Source organism: Homo sapiens, chromosome 11 (genome assembly GCF_000001405.40).
Source record: "Homo sapiens chromosome 11, GRCh38.p14 Primary Assembly".
Taxonomy (NCBI): Eukaryota; Metazoa; Chordata; class Mammalia; order Primates; family Hominidae; genus Homo; species Homo sapiens.
In genome coordinates this window covers 12,129,081-12,151,310 of record NC_000011.10, presented here as the reverse complement: position 1 = coordinate 12,151,310, position 22,230 = coordinate 12,129,081, and the positions used below count along the sequence as shown (strand labels likewise).

At 47.8% G+C, this 22,230-nt stretch overlaps 1 protein-coding gene across 20 annotated transcripts in view, besides 3 other annotated features; it reads right to left on the bottom strand.

Moving 5' to 3' along the window:
• MICAL2 (microtubule associated monooxygenase, calponin and LIM domain containing 2) overlaps positions 1 to 22,230 on the bottom strand; it is a 251,551-nt gene that overhangs the window by 210,830 nt on the left and 18,491 nt on the right. For 7 of the 20 annotated variants that reach the window (NR_144419.2, NR_144417.2, NM_001393937.1 and 4 more), the window contains one exon: positions 12,847 to 12,921. The exons of 7 other annotated variants lie outside the window; for them this stretch is intronic. The gene's annotated coding sequence lies outside the window, so the exon portion shown is untranslated. Of the gene's footprint in view, positions 1 to 12,846; positions 12,922 to 22,230 lie in introns of those variants that run through there. 6 more of the 20 variants (NR_144420.2, NR_144416.2, NM_001282663.2 and 3 more) reach the window with 1 other exon arrangement.
• Positions 11,312 to 11,853: an enhancer, noted in NCBI's record as "H3K4me1 hESC enhancer chr11:12161005-12161546 (GRCh37/hg19 assembly coordinates)". NCBI's record gives its function as "activates a minimal SCP1, AML or CMV promoter by ChIP-STARR-seq in naive H9 embryonic stem cells {active_cell/tissue: H9 hESC(naive)}" and the evidence as "EXISTENCE:reporter gene assay evidence [ECO:0000049][PMID:30033119]".
• Positions 11,854 to 12,397: an enhancer, noted in NCBI's record as "H3K4me1 hESC enhancer chr11:12160461-12161004 (GRCh37/hg19 assembly coordinates)". NCBI's record gives its function as "activates a minimal SCP1, AML or CMV promoter by ChIP-STARR-seq in naive H9 embryonic stem cells {active_cell/tissue: H9 hESC(naive)}" and the evidence as "EXISTENCE:reporter gene assay evidence [ECO:0000049][PMID:30033119]".
• Positions 14,128 to 14,628: an enhancer, noted in NCBI's record as "H3K4me1 hESC enhancer chr11:12158230-12158730 (GRCh37/hg19 assembly coordinates)". NCBI's record gives its function as "activates a minimal SCP1, AML or CMV promoter by ChIP-STARR-seq in primed H9 embryonic stem cells {active_cell/tissue: H9 hESC(primed)}" and the evidence as "EXISTENCE:reporter gene assay evidence [ECO:0000049][PMID:30033119]".

Below are 22,230 nucleotides of genomic sequence, written 5' to 3'. Positions count from 1 at the left end.
TCTATTAGTACCTTAGTGTTCTGCAAAAGTTGCCTGACCCCCAGAAATAAGCCTGCCCACCCCTCTACGTAGGCACTCACACATGTGCAACCTATCTTGAAAAAGACATCCTTTCCCTATTTGCAAATAGCATAAGACAGGAGACTAGAACAGATAAGCTAGTTCATTTCCTTGGTTTCAGAAACACCCCCAGGCACTCAGCTCTTGAGTCCCTGGAAGCCAATGTGATGTGGTAGAAAGAACATGGGCTTCTGAGTCACTAAGTACTCCTTTGAGCAAGTCATAAACAACATAGGGTTCCTGTGAAAATTAAACGGAGGGGCCTCTCACAGCGCTGAGCCCACAGATGAGCTCAATAAGCGTCAGTTCCCGGGAAGCTGCGTGGGGATAACTCCTACCACCTCAAGCTCTAGGTAGCCCAAACCAAACCGAGGCAGAAATGGATACATTTTCACATAAAAGTTGAGGGTAGCTCATCCTCGCCTTAACCAACTCTCTGCTATGGTAAGACGACTAAAAACAGATTTTCCACCAAGTCTCTGCCCGGCACCCTCTTAAAGGCACTCTCCAGGGGAACCTTTGTATCTAAATGGCACTGCGTCTTGCTGAAATTAGGCCTTTGGGACTTGATGCCAGTACAGTAATTAGTCTGGAGGATATAGAGGGATGCTGGGGAAGAGGCATCAAAGTCACAGCCAAGTGAACTTGAAAAGGATTTCTCTATGCCTATTCACTGTGTGCATGGTACCACACCTGGAGCCCAGGACGACTGCAGAGCCGCCCCACCCAGAGCAGCTCGCAACCCAGCTATATCTGATGGAGTCTGTCCCCCAAAGATCCCCTATGTTTTGTGTGCATTTTTTGTTTTTGTTTGTTTTTTTTTTCAGACAGGATCTCACTCTGTTGCCCAGGTTGGAGAGCAGTGGTACGGTCACGGCTCACTGCAGCCTTGACCTCCTGGGCCAATCTCCCTGTTCTGAAGAACTGTACCATTTGACCTCATTTTTCTCAAACACGCTTAGAAAAAGTTCAGTGCTCAACAAAAGTTTATTTTTGTTTCTCTGATTTGTGAATTTATCAATATGAAGTCATTCCCCAAAATGCGCACAAATCCAACCACAGTTAGATCTATATTTGCTTTTATGGGAGAAAACAAATAGCACTCTTCTTTCTTCCCCTCACAGCCTAGGTTTCCAAATGAATAGTCCAGCCTTGCAATGTGCACTTCCTCACCTCCCACTCATCCATCAAACCACCACAATCTGTTTTCTCCTCACAGGCCACCCGGTGCATCAAACCAACGTCACCACCAACTGCTGCTAAATGCAACCGCCACTTATGGGGCCTTATCTTGAGGCCCCATAGAGAGGGCAGACCCCTCTCTACTTGCCCCTGAAAATGAAGGTTCTGGTCTTCACTGTCATGGACCGTAACACTCCTACAGTTCAACCAGTATCTGTGTCCTCATGACTCCCCAGGCTGTACTTGCACCACACAGCTCCCTGCTGCATTTCAGGCCCTTGTGTCACCAACAGTTGGACATTCTCCTCTCACTATCTTATAGAGACCTCACGTGTGGCCAATTTCCCTTGCAACCCCACCTGTTCCTTCTCCTGCAGCCCCAACCTCAGTGAGCAGCACCATCGTGACTCTGCAGCCAAATCCTTCGAGTCAAATTTCTCTGCCCCTTTTCCCTCATCTTGCAGAGCCAGCCAGTCACCAAGTCCTGCCTCTTCAGCAGCCCTATTTACTGCCTCCCATCCTTCCTAGGAGGGTCAGGTCTCCACCTGCTGTCACCTGGAACTCTCAAAATCTCGTAAAAACATTTCCTGCCTCCAGATTCACCTCCCTCCAATCCACCAGCCTAGTCCTCAAACTGTTGCCAGAGAGATCTTTATTTCAAAAATGTGCACTTAGTCAGGTTCCATTGCTGTTCAAAATCCTTCAACAGCTCCCTGACAATCTGCAGGGTGAAGTCCAAACATCTTAATGGAGCAAAACAAAAACTACCTTCGTGATCCAGCCCTAGCTCGCCCCTCCAGCCTCTACTCTCATCACTTCCCCGCCCCCTCATACTCTAGACTCAGGAACCATTTGTAATTTCCCGATAAACTCCACTCCGACACACTTCCACCCACATGCCTTTGCTGATGCTGATCCCTCTGTCTGGAATGCCTATCTGGACTCTGTTTACCTTGTGAAAGCCCAGTGGTCTTTAGGGCTGAAACATCAAAGGCAGCAGAGTGTCACAGGTCCCAGTTTGGACTCTGGAGTCAGGCAGACTGGTCACCAAACCCAACCCACCATTTACTAGGTGTGTGAGCCTGGAGGAGTTGCCTAACCTCTTTGAACCTCAGTTTCTTCATCCATAAAATGGGTATAATAACAGTCCTGACCCCTTGGGTGACTTCAGGATGAAACACAGTGACGCCTGGCTGGGCTGCATCCTTAGCTGCACTGTTCTTCTTTGAAGCATAATTTGCCCTCCCTGGGCCCCCTTTTCTACACTGTACTCTGGGGAAGTTTGTATGATGGTTTTGCACATACCCTTGCATTGATCTACTTGTGGCCCCTCCTACCTCACCTGACTGTGCGTTCTGAAGCTGAAGGCTGCAAGCCCCGGGGCCTGGTGCCCATGCCTCTGACAATGGTGGGTGCTCAATAACCACCACTGGTAGATACAATCAAATCAAGAGTATCGCACACAATTCAGGGTGTGTAGTGGCTAGAGTGTGGCTGCCCTTTGTCAACAACCCTGCCACTTCATCCAGGACCTGGCCAGCTCTGACCTGAGCTACCATGGGCCTCCTCACTGATCTCCCCCTTCCCAACTCACCAGCTTCACCTTTATCCTGTTCATAAATCTCTCAGGGCTCCCTACAGCCCTTGTACAAATCCAAACCCTCCTGCCGGGCTCAGCGGGCTCCCACCCATCATGCAGCCCTCTCTTCCTTGTTAGGCTCAATTCCCAAAGGCATTTGGGCTTATCCTGTGGCTGCCCTCATATCAAGTCTCTGTCTTACTTCTCAAACCTCGCTCATCCTCTGAAGCCCAGTCAGCTCCATGGTGCTGACTGAACACCTACTACAAGCTGTGCCCCCTAGGAGCTTCACAGTCTATTCAGGGAATCCAAACAAACTAACAGTTATTGGTAAGAGCTGCTGGGGAGGTGAGTGCCAAGACATGTGGATGCAGAGTTGGAAGATGGAGTGACTCAGCACCTGAGAAAAGCTCCCTGAGAAGGTGGTACCAGGGCGGGATCTTAAGGGATGGGCTGGAGCATTCAGGTTCAGAAGCCCTCCACCACCCCATCCCTTACCCATCTGTGTTCGTCTAACTCAGAGTCTATGCCTAAGCTCACCAAACCTGGCTGTCGGGCAGATTCGCCCAGGAAGTCTATGAAAACTCAGTTTCCTGGGCCTGTTCCCGAATAGAATCCCTGCAGCCTGAGGTTCAAGAGGAAAAGATGTTTTTAACTCCCCAGGGAATTCTGTTGATCAGCCAACTTTGGGACCCACTAGCCACATTCAATTCCATTCATTCAATTTACTGAGAACCTATATTGTGACTGGGGCCTTGCTAGGTGCTGTGGATGCCAAGGGAACAAGATGCTTCTTCCCATCTTCTGAAAAATGGGGAAGACGAAGAGTTCCCACACAGGTCACAGACCACGCCATTTGGCTCTTCCTTTAGCCTTGAACCTATCATGTGTTTTGTGCACTAATCTTGTCTGGACAATTTAATGTGTAAACTTAAGGAAAGGCAGATTTTTAAATTTATTTTCTATTTCCCAGAGTATTCACCCCAGCTCTGGGTTCTCAGTTGGTAATCAATATTTAAGGTTCAAATAATTCAGCTTTCTGTATTATGGTATTTTGTAGCTAATTCACTCATTGATGAGCTGTTTACTGATCTTCATCTTTGTAATTCCAGTGCCAACATGGTGCCTGCTCCCAGTAGGTAGTATATGTTTGTTGAATGAATGAATGCTTACCATAGAAATCTGGCTCAGGAGGGATGGAACTGCTTCCATGGTAGCACCTTTAGAGTTCACTTAAAAGATTTCTAAATTTTTTCTTTTGCTTTCTTTTTTTTATTATTATTATACTTTAAGTGCTAGGGTACATGTGCACAATGTGCAGGTTTGTTACATATGTATACATGTGCCATGTTGGTGTGCTGCACCCATTAACTCGTCATTTGCATTAGATATATCTCCTAATGCTATCCTTCCCTGCTCCCCCCACCCCATAACAGGCCCCGGTATGTGATGTTCCCCTTCCTGTGTCCAAGTGTTCTCATTGTTCAACTTCCACCTATGAGTGAGAACATGCAGTGTTTGGTTTTCTGTCCTTGCAATAGTTTGCTGAGAATGATGGTTTCCAGCGTCATCCATGTCCCTACAAAGGACATGAACTCATCCATTTTTATGGCTGCATAGTATTCCACGGTGTATATTGCCACATTTTCTTAATCTAATCTATCATTGATGGACATTTGGGTTGGTTCCAAGTCTTTCCATTGTGAATAGTGCCACAATAAACATATGTGTGCATGTGTCTTTATAGCAGCATGATTTATAATCCTTTGGGTATATACCCAGCAATAGGATGGCTGGGTCAAATGGTATTTCTAGTTCTAGATCCTTGAGGACTCGCCACACTGTCTTCCACAATGGTTGAACTAGTTTACAGTCCCACCAACAGTGTAAAAGTGTTCCTATTTCTCCACATCCTCTCCAGCACCTGTTGTTTCCTGACTTTTTAATGATCACCGTTCTAACTGGTGTGAGATGGTATCTCACTGTGGCTTTGATTTCCATTTCTCTGATGGCCAGTGATGATGAGCATTTTTTCACGTGTCTGTTGTCTGCATAAATGTCTTCTTTTGAGAAGTGTCTGTTCATATCCTTCGCCCACTTGTTGATGGGGTTGTCTTTTTCTTGTAAATTTGTTTGAGTTCTTTGTAGATTCTGGATATTAGCCCTTTGTCAGATGAGTAGATTGCAAAAATTTTCTCCCATTCTGTAGGTTGCCTATTCACGCTGATGGTAGTTTCTTTTGCTGTGCAGAAGCTCTTTAGTTTAATTAGATCCCGTTTGTCAATTTTGGCTTTTGTTGCCATTGCTTTTGGTGTTTTAGACATGAAGTCCTTGCCCATGCCTATGTCCTGAATGGTATTGCCTAGGTTTTCTTCTAGGGTTTTTATGGTTTTAGGTCTAACATTAAAGCCTTTAATCCATCTTGAATTAATTTTTGTATAAGGTGTAAGGAAGGGATCCAGTTTCAGCTTTCTACACATCACGATTTCTAAATTTTTCATTTGAATTACAGACCACCAATTTCAGGATTAATTTCCTGATATACAATTACAGAAGCTTTGTTGTTTATATTGTCATTAATGTTATTAACAACATAAATAACACCTTCCTGGCTCTCAGTAGTCTGCTGGCCTCTGAGATGCTTGTGCACACCTTTCATTGGGCCGTCCACCCAACTGGCAGTCCAACTGGCCATGTCCCTCACCCCAGAGTCTGCATAAGAGCCTATACACTGCATTCAGCCTTTATAAGCAGGTGTATACACCTGCATGGACAGGTGAGCCCTGCCTGAGTCAGAAATAACTAATGGCTATTCGAAGCCTACCAAAATGTCAACACACTTGGGAAGTCAGGATCTAAGATTTAGATGTAAAATTGCCTGTGCTGCAGAGAGGCAGCATGACAAAGGAAGAGCCCCATCATGAGGTTCCTGGGAGACCTGTCCAAGCATAGGACATTGGGCCAGCTAGGGTTGGCTAGGTATGCAGGGGTTGCCAGCAGAATGACTCCCCCTGCTTTCTCCAGGGCCAGCATTCCCAGTAGATCATTGTCGCTATTGATGTTTGTTTGTTTTAAGCCCTGAAAACAGGACTCGTCATCTTGAGGTGATGTGGATTAAACATCATCTGTCTTTCCAGGCCCCGGCCTAGAAGATGCCTTTATCGGGTAACTTCGTTTATGCCAAACACCAAAGGGGTCTTTTCTGAAGTGCATGCTGGGTCCTGATAGCATGCAGGCCACATAGTCTGAGGCCTGTTCACTTCCATTTTGTTCTGCTGGAAAACAGAAGGATTTCCTTGCTGGTCATTCATTCAACACTGATTACCATGTGCCCAGCGATGTGCTACATGAACCCAGCTGGACAGTTCTTAGGTACAACCTCAGGAGAGTGAACAGACCAGAAACTGGCAAGGTGAGACAGTTCTGAGAAAGGATTCCTTCCTTCATCAGGATGTGGGCTGAGAAGAGCTCTCTGCCCACGGAAAATATGCTGCTATCAGGAGGCATTTCAGACATCTGAACAGAAGTGAAAGATCAGGACAGTTTTGACCCAGTCCTTTACTATACAGAGGAACTGAAGTCTCTCGGGAACTTCTCCCCAGATGTCTGTAAAGCCAAGTAAGGTTACAGATGGCAAATACAAAAATGCCTGTCTGAGAAGACAGGGTAGAACCAGTCTCTAATGTATACTCAGTTGCTGAACTAACTGGAGGAAGTTATTGGTCTGACAGGTTGTAGCTGAACTGACTGGAGGAGGTTATTGGTCTGACAGGTTGTATTTCACCTCCCTGAACTAGGTGCACGAGCATTGAGGTTTGAAAGTCCTATAACATTTGCCTACTTGGTAATGGCTCGGAGGCTGCAGAACCGTTGCAATTTATGGTTGTGAGCAATTCACTACATTGAGAACAACGCAGACCTCTGTGGGACAGTCTCGGGGAAGAACGCTGCCTCTCCAGGCCACACTCAGAGGCCACATTCCTGAAAGCTCAGAGAGGCTGGGTCATAGGTTCCAGGGCCCAGAAAGGGCCTTGACCATTCAGGGGGTCAAAATGTCCCTCACCAGCCCCAAACTCCAACATCCAGAAGCCCCAGAGGAGGGGAGCCCCGAAGGTATGGCCCCGCTAGTGACTTCTCCCTGGTGGGAGGGAGACAGCCTCCCATCATCCTGATGAATACATTTCTCTTGGCTGAATAAAGACATTGGACTCTTTCCTTGGTATTTGGGCTCATGCTCTGAAAAACATGTTTACTAAAATAAGCCCCAACTGTTCCAAAAAAGATTTTTTTCTTTTCTCATAAAGATACAAAACCCACGGGCAGCAGATAGGGACTGTTGATACAAGACCAAGAAGTCTTAGACTCCAAATCACTCTCTGGTTTATTGGTTTGCTCCTCTCCATAGAAGACAATTCAGGCTCAAAGTTCAATGTTTGAAACTCATTTCCTGGGGCAGACCTCAGCAAGGTATTCATTAAAGTGGGGGTGTGCAGGAACAACCACGCCCAGGAGACAAGAGTTCCTGGCGCTCTCTCTCTCTCTCTTTCCCTCTCTCTCTCCGCCATTATTCTTTCCACTCTAATGATCTGATATTTTTAAAAATTCTGGCTCACCCTCATGACAAATAATCTACTTCCTGGATACTTTTGCCTTGCAAATGTCATCCTTAAAAACAACTATATTTTTTGTTGGTCTTTATTTTTAAGTAGCTTTCTCAACCCAGAGCCCCAGCTCCTGCAGAAATATTATGTGACCCTGTCTGGAATGCAAAATGATCCCTGGAGAGTCAATCTGCGCAGGAACTCACAAGGGTGTTTGCTATCAGCTTATCTGGCAAGAGGAATCTGAGACATTTTAAATATGAACTGTTGGTGTGGCCCGTCCCACCCCATTCACTTTGCCCCATCAATAATCACTTCCATTGGTGTGTGAGACACAAAATGCAGAAAACGGACACAAACTCTCTGAAAATGAGCCCCCAGCAGAAGTTCCTTTCTCTATATGGAAACATCCATCAGGCAGCTGGAGAATTCATATTTGGAGAAGCTTTCCTGGTCTCTGCTAATGTTTCTTTCAATGAATCTCACCTAGCAGCAAGTATTTTGCAAAGCCCTTGACAGTCTACTTCTGAACTCCCCTCCTCTCCCACTTCAGAGCTGATCTCTCAACTGAATGTCTCATTCCTTGCACCCTCAGCTAAGAAAAAAGCATGCCCACTACTCCTCCTTACTTCTAAACACCAAATCAGGCCCTTTCACACCTCCACCCAGTTTCCTTGGAGAACCGTCTGCCTCCTTTTCTGCCTGGCAACCTCCTGATCATCCTTCAGTACCCAAGTCTCACAGCCCCTCCTTGGTAATGCAGTCTTCCCTGTGTGCTGCTCTCTTCTCAGTGCTTCCAGAGCGATAAGGGAGCTATGACTGTCATCATATACATCTGTCCCACCACCAGGCTAGGCCACAAGTCCTAGGAGTAAAGGGACTAGGTCTTACTCACTTTTGCATCCCAAGAACCAAGCCCAGGACCTGGCATTTGGAAGTCCCATGATAAATGTTTGACGCTTCAGTCAATGCCTTGCCTATTTTTCCCCAGCCCTCCCTTCTGTGTGCAGAGAGCCATGTGAAATGTGGAACCAGGAAGGGCTTTAGAGTCAGATACCTTGCGTTTGAGTCCTGGCCCTTGTGGGCATGGACAAGTTATTTAACCTGTAACTGTCTCAATTTTCTCCTCAGTACAACAGGTAGCCATGCCTATCTCTCAGAGAGCTGCTATGAGGAAAAACAAGGTAATATATGTAAACCTAGTGCTTGCCCAATGCAAAGTGCTCCAGATGCATTTCCTTGAGCTCAGCAGGAAGTGTTGGGCCAAATGGAGTTCTACAGAAAAAGTGAGTGGTTTCCATTCTGGTTTATGTGCCATCAGCATAGTGCTGGGATGGCCAGTCTCTGACTGAAAAAGCCCCTCTCAGAGCAAGCAACAGTGTAATCCATGCCCTTTGCTGGAGGTTCTCACAACAAGGCCTGCTTAGCAACAACGCTCATATGATTTTGATTTGAATGGCAAACTCACAAGAGGCTACTCCTGCTAAGGCTGGGCCATCTTATAGCCTTCATTTCCTGTCTTGAATTAATCTTTCACCCCAAGACACATCATAAAACAGAATAACGGCAACTCAACAGTGTTAAGTCACTAAATACAAATCAAAACAGCCTGCACATAAGAAGCCTCAACCTCTCCATGCTGTTGCACCCAGGTTTTATTAGGCCTTGATAAACAATGAGGTAGGAGCTGTGGGGGCCCTGCTAACACCTTAGACATTCAAGTGCAGGGTGGAGGAGAAAAGAGGAAGGCACGGTGGCTGAACCCACATGAGGAGGCAACATGGAACTGCAGAGAGAGCCACTTGCTGGGAATCAGGAGACTTAGCTTCTGTCTCACTTCTACCACCAGCTTGCGCTATGGGTGTGCTTGAGTCATGTCTCTGGGCCTCAGTTTCTTTACTAATAAACGGGAGAAGTGGATTAAAGGATCTGTCGTTCTTTTCAGCTTTAATACTTTACAATTGTAAATGTTAGAGACAAATCCACCTTCCCTAGCCTTTCCCCTTTTCATATTGGTTGTCCATCTGAGGTATCTCTCATCTCTCACTGAGCAACCTTCTACCAATGCTATTCCCTTTATTTCTCCAAAGTGTCTGGTCACCCCTGATCACAAGGGTTGGCCAACTTGGGGCCATATTCTTAAGAACATATTGACTACCCTCTGATCAAAAATTCAGTACAATCCAGGTACCCTGGGGCATCAAGGACTTGAAAATCCCAACAACCTTTAATCCCATTTTCCTCTGATACCAACCAACTTTCACTCCTTAGATCTCTAAGAGTCTCACAAGGTTAGAGTTTTCTCCCATGCTGCTTGGCAGAAGAGTAGGGCAACAACAGGAAGTTCTTATCTGCACTCTGGCATAACTCAGGGTGGCGCAGGGGAGAGATGGCAAAGCTACAAAGATCAGGATGAAAGTGCTTACAGAAGCAAGCTCTGACCACATGAGGAGGAGGTGACCTGGAGGAGAAGACAGTGCTAATCACAAGGACAAACTGAGAGAGACACTGAGGACCAGGACCACAGAAGTCAAGGAGACTTCTTTAAGATACCACCAAACCTCCACCCCTCCCTGAATTCCTGAATAAGAAATCTGAAGGCCCCTGAGGTTCTGTGACTCGCCCAAGGCCACATAGCTAAGCTGTGGACAGTCAACACTAGAACATGGCTCTCTTGGTCTCAGCCCACTCTTATTTCTACTCTATTCTGTTGACCTCAAGAGTCTAACAAGGCCAGCTGGATCCCTTGCAGACTCGAAGAAAGATGACCCAAGTATCACTTAGGGAAAGAGCAGACCCAGCGGATATTTTGATAACTGCCTCCCGGAGCCCATGAATTCTTTCCCATCTTGACATGGTTTTCTTGTTGTTTCTCCAGCCCTTGCCACAACATATGGAAAAGTTCAGAGGTCAGTGAGAAGGAAGAGGTAGGCTCCCCTAACTGTACAGAACCCTGCATATCTAAGATAATACACACCTGTCCTTCTTCCTCAGTCTAGAGAAGGTTGGTGGGGGAAGGGTAGAAGGAGGAGATGAGTGAACTGCCTGGAAGGCTGACCTGTTTAGGCCACAGGTATTATTCATGGGCAATTAGATGGGTCACTGAAGGTCTGTGACAACAAACAGTAGGATCTGCTTCTCCCAAGGACCTCTCATAGATCAATGTCTAACGTAGCATCTCAATGTCAGGAGGAGGAAGCTCCGAGTAAAAGTCAAGGAATTAATTATTCAGTGTGCATGACCTAGTTCCCAGAGGTATGGCTGGGTGAGAAGAGAGCTCACCAGTTCCTTATCATGGCAAGAAACTCAAATATTCCACAGGGTAGTGTTCTCTTTGCTGCCAAAGAGGGTCCACTTATGGTTGAGAGTGGCCAAAAAAAAAAAAAAAAAGAGCCAAAGTTCACTCATTCCACAAGTGTTTATTGAGCTCCTCTTAGGTCTCAGGCCCTCCAGAGATTTACTATGGTTGGAGTTTAGCAGAGGAGAGACATGGAATTTATAAACAGTAGGACTGGGCCATGTCCCAGCTCAGCCCTTAGACAGCTGCATTGCCTTGGGCAGGCTACCGCCTGCCTAAGGCAAATTTCTCATCTGTAAAATGGGAGAAGTCCACCTGCTTGATCATGAAGATGAAATGACCTTTATAAAACATAAAGTGCAAAGAAATATGAAGTGTAAATAATAATGATACAACATGATACACTTCCCCTGCCCTAGAGAAGTATATAATTTGGGAATGCTTTGGAAAATAATCCAAGGTACCTATTTGGCAAGCATCACATTCTCTGTAATTTGGGGAAATTTTATGTTTCACCCTGCCAATGGAGATGAAACTGGCAGTCAGTCCCAGTCCTCAAGTCCAGGAAGTTGCAAGAAAAGGTAGAATAAACACAGAAGAGTAGCCAGGACCCACCTGGCCCTGGGTCAAGCCTGGATTGAATGGATGAGCCAGGAGGGACCCAAGATTCCAAAGGGAAGAGAGAAGAACAGCACGTGTGTTCAACAGAAACAGAACAAAACAAAAATTCATTTGAGGGCAATAGGATTGAGCCAGCCAGAATTGCTCACACTCCCCTCCCTACACATTTCAGACAACATTGGAATTCACTGTTCATTGCCTGACCCTCCTCTGTGGACAAACTCTGTATTCTGTTTCTCCAGAGAGGGGACAGTTTCTCAGGCTGTGGCAGACTGGCCAATCAGCTCTTTGCCTGGGTCTTTCCCCAGATACTAAGAATGAGAATTCCTGGAGCAGCTTTCCCTGAGGTCCAGTCAACCCCTTGTCATCCTGCCATTCAGGACTCCCGTGGACTCCTCACCCCACGTGATCCCTCAGCGCCCACCAGGCCAGCTGCCAAATGCCCTGACATGCACGCCGGCTGCCCCTCCGCCGGAGCCTCCGCCCATGCCCCAGCATCTTGGATTGGGCCCTGATGCTCTCCCCTCACCCTCACCTTCATCCTCCCTCCTCCCACAACTAAACTGAGCCTCTTCAACGCCCTGCCAAGGCTCACATGTCCAGGAAAGCTCCCGGAGAGAAGGGAGGGTTTTATTCATCCCTATGTTCCCTCTGACTCATGGCTTTCTGTAAGTTCTTCACCCTCCTGTAAACACAGATATATGGTCCCAAAATGTTCTCTGATTGCTGAATACAGGAGCAGGGCAGAGGAGGAGGGAGGAGGGGTGCCAAAACGCCAGACAGGAAGTCCAGGGCCTGCGTTTCCATTCTCCATTGGACACCAGTGAGCCCTGTCACCTTGAGAAAGAATCTTCAGGCCAGGCCTCAGTCTCCCTGTTTGGCAATGAGGGGTTTACTCTAAACAACCTTTCTAATTATAAGGTTACAGAAACCAGGCTAGCCTGGGACACAGAAAACGTGAGTCCTGGGCACTTATTAGCCTACCACCACCTGTGGCAGGCTATCTGACTCCTCAGACCCCAGCCTCCATGTCTATAAAATAAACAAGGATAATGTGACCACCCCACCCAGGGCACAAAGGTTCCCATAGGACACTGTTTGTGATGAAGCTTTGTGGACCATAAAAGCCCTGATCAAACCTCAGGGATGAGACTCCTTGAGTCCACAAACAGCTGTTGGTCACCTGTGATGTGCCTTGTACTGTGCCTGCCGGGAATTGCTGCCTGGCTCAGACAGGAAGGCGGGAGTCTGGTTCCTTGCCCTTGAGGCTCCCACAGCCGGTAGGTGGGACAAGCAGGTGAACAAACCCTAACTCAGTGGTGTATCTGAGGCAAGAACACAGCGCTAGGGGAGTGCAGAGGAGGTGGTGCTGACTCAGAGGGAACAGCGCGCCCTGGGCACAGCAAGCTGCCCCAGGATGGTGGGAACATCCCACACTTTCCTAAGCCTAGGACCAGCCCCCAGGAGCTACTCCACGGTAAACAAGATCCACCACTGTGACTTACTCACTGGATTCTCAGGCATCACAGTGGTTAAAGTCTTCTCTTTCTGGGATGAGACACACACGGGTTGCCATGTTCCTTTAAAAACAAGAGCCCAACAATTAATGTCAGTGACATCATCGTAGCTTATGCCTCCTTTCTAGTCTCCTCCAAGAGGTCACGCATGCTTGTGCACTCTGCCTTGTGGGACACTTCACCCAGCAAGAGGAAATGGACAGAGAATCTCTCCCTGGCCTCCAACAAGTTTTGCACGTGAAGAAAGGAATAGCAAGATGGCTAAACAAATTCTATTGTTGGCTGCAGTCAGGGCACCCTAAGGGCTTATCAGATCTCTACACAAAGACTTTGCTGAGGAGTAGGAGGGATCCGGAAAACAATGCTTTATTCGCTGCTTTAGTAAAAACAGAAAGTGTCAGAATTTTTAAGTGTGAGACACAATGAAAGTAAATCAAGCAGGTGTAAAACTGGATAACAAGTCCCCAGTGTGAAACGGGTCCCATTTTCTAACACTGAGTAAACTAGGGAGTTATGAAAGTGCACCAGCTGATCATGGCTGAGTTTCCTAAACTAATTTTTCTCTTGGCTTCCAGTGACGACCCACATTATTTCATGACATCCTATTGCTTCTGCAGAAAATGCCTCTACACCTGTTTGGAAAACGAAGCCCAGAGTTACAAAATATTTCTAATGATTTACTTCCACATTAAAAAATAAATCAAAATATTTAAGAGGTAACCTCAAAGGGACAAAAACTAACACAGGTGTGAAATTTGACATCTATAAGAGGCAATATTCATACTCCAGGGAGGTATACGCACACTTTGTTCAACAGAGTGGTGCCCCCCACACACACACTCACACACACACACACTCTCTCTCTCTAGCACACAAAGAGCACACATTGTTAGAGTGCTGGGAGATGGGACTCACTGTTCAGAATTCTCAGCCCGTTAATGGGAGACAGCCTATGAAGTGCTGTGTACTGTCATGGGTGGAGACTAGACCTGCTTGATCTCAGTGGCTCCTCACAGACAGCAAACAGAGGCTTACAGAACAGATGGCACTTGCCAAGCCCCTACAGCAAGGCAGGATTGGAGCCCAGGACTGGCTGCCCCTGTGCTCATGGTCTTTCCCACCAAGCTGAGGGAAAGGTGTACTGGACATCAACTCTGATTTAGTCCTGGTGGGCCCACACACCGGGCGAGCCTGGCGAGCTCCAAGGGCGGCCACCTGGGCAGAAGCGGCAGCCCTGCCCGCCCGTCATCATCATTACCAAGCCCACACCCCTCGGGGCTTGTGCCAGCTGACAAACAGGCTGGCCTGCCTGGGCCACATTCTATCAGCCTGTGCTGCAGGCTCGGTGCTGCTGCTTCCAGCCAGAAGTCAAAGCGGCTAGAGGCCTTGACTTGTCTGCCCCCTGCTTCTCAAGGGAAGCTTCTGGGATCTGTGGGTGGGGAGCTGGACATCCTGGTACAGAATTCCATCATTGGTCCAACCAGAGTTTCAGAAGCCAGGGACCCCGCCATGCTCTCTAGATCTCAGGAACAGAAGTCCCTACCCACCCTAGGGCATTACGGAGACCAGCAGCAGGGACACGGGGCTCTTTAAGGTTCAGCTTAGGCTGTCTTCATGGTGGGTTGGAGGCAGGTATGACTGGACCAGGCTACAAGGGCTGACCACTGGTCAGATGCTCACAGAGGCCTGGGCACACTGTGTCCAGCCACTCAAAGGACCAACTCGTACCCTTTGTCTGACCAACAAGCCAAATACACTTGAGCTCCCTGTAACACCAACAAATTAGAAGGTCCTAGAGCCCAATACCTTCTGGCCTTTGAGGGTCAGGGCCTCTGTTCCCTCATCCATAAAATGAGGAGCTTGATACAATTGGTGATTTCCTCACCTAGGACCCCATTCAGCTGCCCCCCTCCAGGTACCCTGACTTTTAGAGACACCGACAAAACTACTTAGTTGTTATAAGAGGGAGGGATTAACCTGTGTACAGGTATTGCCTTGGGTAGTTAACACTGCTACCTCAGCTAATCCTCCCAGCAACCCTGTAAGACAGGTAGTACGGTATCATTACAGAGGGGGAAACTGAGGCATGGCACAGCGAAGTGCTTCACCCAAAGTCTCGATTAGCAGAGACCACAGCAGCTCTGGGACTCCCGATGGAGCTGGCCTGAGTCCACGCCCATGCTCACTCCCTGACACTATATTTTCCTTTGTAATCAACCAGAATGAAGAAATGCTGTCTCTCCTTGGACTTGCCATCAGGCCAGTGCCAAGCAAAGAAGCACGAGGTCTCTGGTCCCTCATGGGCCTGATTTGGGTGATACAGGGAAGGTTTCCTGTGAGATTGAGTGGGACATGACAGGCCCAAGTGACAGGAACTCCGGGAGCCTTCCTCTTGGATGTTTTCAGAGTCTAAGCTCTTCCCTGAGGGACCCCAGCACTTGGACAGGGCCTGGAGCCTCCAGGCCCTCAGTAAATATTTGTTGAATGAAGAAATGAATAAACTCAGAGTTTCAATGCACTAAAGACTTGTTCAAGAACCATCTGGTGTAGGTCGGTGTGAGATAGATCGAGACCAGCTCAAACCTCACAGCCGACCCCTCAGCAGCATGCAGCAGGTAGGGGTCTCCACATCCCAGCCCCTCCCCAGACTGTGGACAAAGACTCAGGTGCTGAGCCAAACCAGGGGAGCTGCAGACAGAGCAAGAGAAGTGTCTAAATGTGCAGGCTACCCAGTGAGGCAGTTAAGAACTTGGGCCCTATGATCAGTCAAACCAAGGGTCCTATCCCAGCTCTGTCACTTTAAATTAGTTGGGTGGCCCTAGGCAAATCACATCATCTCTGTGAGCCTCAATTTCTTTTTTTAAAATGTGGATGATGTTAGCACCCACTTCATAGGGCTTCTCTGAAGATTAAATGAGATAATCCTATAAAGGACTTAGCCCATTGCTTGCTCAGAGCAGGTGCTTGGAGGTGATGTCTGTTATTGTCTGCATCAGAGTGGGTGGGTAACGGCACTTCTGGAGCCCTCTGCTTGGGTTCACTTCCAGCTCTCCTCCTAACTAGCTATGTGACTTTGGGCAAATTGCTTAACCTCTCTCTACCTCAGTTTCCTGGTATGTAAAATGGGTTGACTGTGAAGATTAAATGAGTTATGCAGGTAAAGAGCTTAGAATGTGTCTTGCATAAAGTAGCTCAAGAAAAGTGAGCATTATACTTAATTATTAATATTACTAGTATTCTTCTCTCTGTGTCTCTCTCCTGATAACAGACTCCACCCCATCTCCCACTCTCCAGCCAAAAAGGAGGGTATAGGACTCAAGGTGGGCTCATGGGAGTATCTTTTCTCCTTAGCAGTGGTACATGGGGTGTGCACATGCTCCAGGCCAGGCCAAATTCCAATCTGAAAACTCCTGGGGAAGGCCTGGTCCTCTTAGGTTGGCGGCAGGGCTGTGTGGGGTCAGCTGGGAGCTGCCTGCAGCCATAGTGCACTGAACAGGGGACTCTGGTCTAGAGATGCTGGAGGTCACATGCTGTCTTCCTGGGGCTTGATTCTTCTGCACCTCTTTTGAATCTTTGAGCCTCCTCGAAACCTTCCAATGTATCCTTTTTAATTTAATTTTTTTTTTGTAGAGACAAGCTCTTGCTATATTGACTATGCTGATCTTGAACTGCTGGCCTTGAACGCTCCTCCAGCCTCAGCCTCCCAAAGTGTTGGTATGAGAGGCATAAGCTATGCATCCCATTTTTGCTTAAGCTCATTCAAGTTTGGTTTCTGTGCCTTGAAACCAAAAAACTCCCAAGTAATAACAGCCCTCAACAAGTGCCTGCTTTATCATCACCAAATCCCACCCAGGAAGAAAAGCCAGCTGCACACCCAGTGAGACCCAGGAAGCCAAGGGAGAGCAAATATGTACAGCAAGGTATCTACAGACTGAAGTGAGGGGAGGCCACTGCAAGCCCCTGGAGCAGGGCCCTTCCTGGGAGAAGAAGTTACCGAAACCAACAGCGAGCAGCCCAGCCCTGTGCTTCCTGGTTGAGAACGGAGCCTCAGACCCAGCCCCGGAGCCATGCCCATTATGAGAGGGGAAGAAGAGAAAGAAGGAAGCTAAAGCTGATTTTCATTGACTTTGAAGTGGTGCAGAAAAAAAATCCAGATAGCTATTTAAAACAACTCTTTTTAAAGGAGGAAGTAAGGGAGAAAGTGGGGAGCATGGATAAGGGAAGAAAACTTGCCTTGTTTGAGTACTTAAATGTGCCATGCACTGGTGGTCACACTCATTGAATTGTATGATCTTGTCTAACCTTCAATGAAACACTGGGAACTGGATGATCATCCAACCCATTTTCCAGGTGAAGAAACTGAGGCTCATGAAGGTCAATAACTAACTCGCCAAGGTCATGCCACTAGTGCCTCATGCCTGTTCCACCCCATGCACACCACCTCCTCAGTACACTCTGATTTCAGTGGAGCCTGGGGTCTTTTCCTCACACAGCCCATTTCTACTGTCACTCACATCTGTGCTCAGATCCCTCAGAGGTGATGGCAATGTCCTGCTGCTCCTTTATTCATAACTACTCAGAGGAAAGCGCAGCCCTGAGACACAGACAGGAGAGGCAGTATCTTGACAGCTCAGGTGCATCCTTGGGCAAGTTTCCTTTTCAAGACCTTAGTTATTTCAATCTCAAAGAGCTCTAGTGTGATTTTACTGGATGGCATGTATCAGTGGGTTTCCTGCTCTTGAGGGCAAGATTTGCCTACGCCTGACAACCAGCCAACAGGCTGTAAAACATCATCTCCTTTGCGTGTTTTTTGTTTTACTTTTTTTTTTTTTCTCAGTCACCTGTCCCAAGAGATTCTGACTTAATAGGGACGACTATAGTCCCTGTCACAAAGCATTGTGCTAAACAATATTATCGTTGCTTGTCTCACTTACTCACTACTTTCTGGACCAGCACCCAAAGATGATCTACTCCCGTATCCCATGCCTACTAATAGCATGGTTTTAATTCCCTTCAGGAAAGGAAGCTGCACCTTCAGGTGTGTTTTTAAAGGGTTTTAAATGGAAAAAATGGCCGGGCACAGTGGCTCACACCTGTAATCCCAGCACTTTGGGAGCCCGAGGCAGGCAGATCGCTTGAGGTCAGGAGTTCAAGACCAGCCTGACCAACATGGTGAAACCCCATCTCTACTAAAAATACAAAAATTAGCCAGGTGTGGTGGCGCACGCCTGTAATCCCAGCTACTTGGGAGTCTGAGGCACAAGAACCGCTTGAACCCAGGAGACAGAAGCTGCAGTGAGCCGAGATGGTGCCACTGCACTCCAGCCTGGGTGACAGAGCAAGACTCTCAAAAATAAAATAAATAATACAAAATACAAAGCAACAGAAAAAAAATCCATGGCCTGGTAGCAAAAACTAAGAACCAAAATATGCTGACAACCACCCACCTCTCCTGCAGCATGGGCCATGAGATGAACACACAAATGAGCACAGGCAAGCGCCTTCTTCCACAAGCCCCAGGGAACCCAGCACCGAAGTCTGCATGGGCATAAACTAAATAACCAGTGGAGTAAGGAGTAAAGATACAAGCATCAGTTGGTACAAAAGAACACACAGCCAAGATGGAAGTGGTAGCTTCTAGCATTTGCTAGAGAATTAAACTGGGAACTGTGATCTGGAATGACATGAAAATCTTCCTGACTACAATCATGTCAAGAAGAAAAGCTCTTGGCAGAGACTTGGCTCTATCTGTGGGAATAGGGAAGATCAAGAAGCCATCCCAAGCAGGAAGCCTTGCCTGCTGACCCTCACAGGACACAGGCTTCATAATGCCACACCGCCCAGCGCCCAGCTGGCAGCTAATGGCTATTCTCTTTGTTTTCCAGCTGCCAGCTTCAGAGAGTGGTTGCCCCAGTCATGGGGGATTATCCAGGCAGGTATTTCCCTTACTTTTCTTTTTCTTTTCATAACTTTATTCTCTGCTATTTAAAAAATAAAAAGGAACCGGCTCATTTTCCCTGAGGGCATGATTTGGTTTCACTCCTGGGTGAGATATGGTGCCACACAGCATAGCACTGCCTGGTGTTGGAGTGGCATGCAGTACACTAGCAGGGATCCATGGGCAACTTGGACCAGATAGAAATCTGAAAGAGAGTGGAATGTTCAAGGGGTCGCATTTCCTGCACTCCTGCTGCAAACCTGGTTTCCCTTAAACCAGCCAGGAAAGATTATTCAACCAGCATTTGCTGAGTGCCCTGGCTGGGACTGCGAGGAACATTAAAAAGCATGGGAAACAGGGGCCAGGACTCAGGAAGCAGAGGTGGTAGGAGGATGGGTGTTGCCTCAGAGCAGCCCACCCCTAGGCTTGGATCCCTGCCTTGCTGCCTGTCTGTTGTGCGACCTCAAGCAAGTCATTTCAGCCCTAAGGCTCATTTGCTCCCCTTTGTGGAATGACGTCTACCTTATAAAGCTAGGGTGAGGATTCAATGAGATAATACCTATCAAAGAATAACAAAGGCTGCCATATGTTAGCCATTTACTATGAGCCTGGACCTGTGTGCAAAGTGCTTTGCATGGATTATTCCATCCAGTTCTTACAACTTCCCTCTGAGTAGGCTTCGCATCCTCAATCTCAAATGAGAAAATGAGACTCAGAGAAATGAAAACACTTACCCAAAGTCACACAGCTCATAAAAAACAGAGCTAGGACATACCCAGCCTCCATGCAACTGCCTGGAACATGGTGGGTGCACAAAACATGTTGCCTGCCTTCCCTTCAGGAAGCAGAGAGGGTGAGAAAGAACTCCCAGGAAACAGGTAAATGCTGAACTGGGGGCTGTTGATTCTCTGCCCAGCAAGCATATGGAGAAAGGAGGGGAAACTGGGTCTGAGAGGGTTTAGGAAGCCTTTCTGAAGACAGCAGGGCTGAATCCAGACTTGGGGGATGAGGGTGTTGAAAAGGCAGAGAAGAAGGAAAGTGCTGAAGAACCAAAGCAAAGAATTGGGGCCAGGGATGGCCCAGGTGCAGAGGAGAGGAGACCAGCCAGCTTGGAGGATGAGAAGGGGGAGCTGGTCTGACTGAGGGATGGGCAGCCTGAGCCATTACCTTGGGGCAATTCTACTGGGATCTTTTTTTTTTTTTTTTTTTTTTTTTGAGACGGAGTCTCGCTCTGTCGCCCAGGCCGGACTGTGGACTGCAGTGGCGCAATCTCGGCTCACTGCAAGCTCCGCCTCCCGGGTTCACGCCATTCTCCTGCCTCAGCCTCCCGAGTAGCTGGGACTACAGGCGCCCGCCACCGCGCCCGGCTAATTTTTTGTATTTTTAGTAGAGACGGGGTTTCACCTTGTTAGCCAGAATGGTCTCGATCTCCTGACCTCATGATCCACCCGCCTCGGCCTCCCAAAGTGCTGGGATTACAGGCGTGAGCCACCGCGCCCGGCCCTACTGGGATCTTTCTCACCTGCAACCCAGAGGCCCTCCGGCCTCTGCTCCTCCAGTCATGCGACCATCACAGAGGGAGCTGAGAAGCAGTTCCAGGTGCCAAAGCCCAGAAACCTCTCTCTTCCCACAGCAGTATCAGGGTCCACCTCCATAAGCAGGTGTGTTTGCCAATTCCCAGTCTGTGCTGCTCTGCAGACCTGCCAGGCCTTAATTCTAGCCCAAGTGCTGGGGTGCCAGGAAGCTAAAATGCTGCCATGTGCACTTAAGAAGCACCACCCTCAGAGCCTCCACCCAAGTATTCAAAGTTGGCAGGAGGGAGGAAGAGGCACAGGTAAAGCCGAGGTTGTAGGACCTGAGCCCCTTGTGGCAGGGTCCCTGTCTTGCTGGACTTTGTATTCCTCATGCCTGCTGGGACACTGTAGGTACTTCCTCAATAAACTTTTGTTGGGCTGAACTAAACAGGAGATTCTTCTGCTTAAGGAACAACTCCAAGGAGTTTAACAAGTCTGAATTAAGGGCTGACTTTGAGCCCTGGGTTTAGTCCCACCTTGGCTAGAAGGATCATTTGCCTGTTTGCCTCCCAGGGAGTAAGTACTCCCCATCCCATCCCTCTGCCCTGTGGCCTCTGATTCAGCCCCCTGCAGGCCCCTGGCCAGGCTCCAGGCAGTGATTCTGGGCTCTACACCTCAGCACCTGCTCCTCCTCTTGCCTCCTCCACCTTCAGTTGCAGGGTCCCTCATGGCACATTTATGCTCAGGACAATTTCATACTCAGGCACTGCAAATGCTTCAAGCTACAATGCTCTCCCCCATTGTCTCCCACTCCCCACCAAGTTCCAAATGCTGAGTCCCAGCCCAGACCTCAGATCCACAGAGAAGGGACAATGGAGTGGGGATGATTTGAGCAACTCCAATAATCAGCTCTGCTCAAAGCCATCACCATGTGCTTAGTTCGGGAGTAACAAGACCTGGGAACAAAGGGTGAAAGTAGAATTGTATAGCCTGGGCGCAGTGGCTCACGCCTGTAATCCCAGCACTTTGGGAGGCCAAGATGGAAGGATAACTTAGAGTCCAGGAGTTTGAGACCAGCCTGGGCAACACAGGGAGACCCTGTCTCAACTAAAAACAAAAGAAAAAATTAGCCAGGCATGGTGGCGTGCACCTGAAGTCCCAGCTACTCCAGAGGCAGAACTGGGAGGATCATCTGGGCCCAGGAGGTTGAGGCTGCAGTGAGCTATGATCCCACCACTGCTCTCCAGCCTGGGTGACAGAGTGAGACCCTGTCTCATATAAATAAATGAATCATAAAATTAAGAGAAAAACAAATGAAAAACTGTCCACGTAATTGAGGACCACCAAAAAAAAAAAAAAAAAAAGAAGAAGAAGAAGAAACAGAGTAGAATTGTATAAAGGTCGGCTGGTCACCACATGACCTCCTCCCAGTCCTCTTTAGGAAAAGGGCTAAGGGGGAAATGATGAATGGCTTTAGGGGAAGAGTCAATCTGAAACTCCAGAACAAAGCTTTCTGGGATAGGAAGGGGGGTGCGTGTTTCATTACCTTCCACTTGCACGTTTTGGAGCAAGTTATTCAACCCTGCAGAGCCTCAGTCTCCTGACCTGTTCAATGGGGACAGTACCCAGTAACCGCACAGGGTAACTGTGAAGACCAAATGAAATATGAATGGGAATGTGTTTGGCAAACTGTAAAGCACCTTTGGAAATATCAGACATTTTCCAAATCCTGAGAGGTGGGGTCTTCAGGTCAGAATATGTGGCTTGAAGGGTAAAAGAAAACCAAGAATCACTTCTTTTGGCCCAAGTCTCTATTGACAGCTTCTAGGACAAGGCACAAGTCTTCAGGGATTTTAGAAAGATGCTGATTGAATTCTATTCATGGTCTTGTAAAGGGGAGACCTACACCCACATCTATAT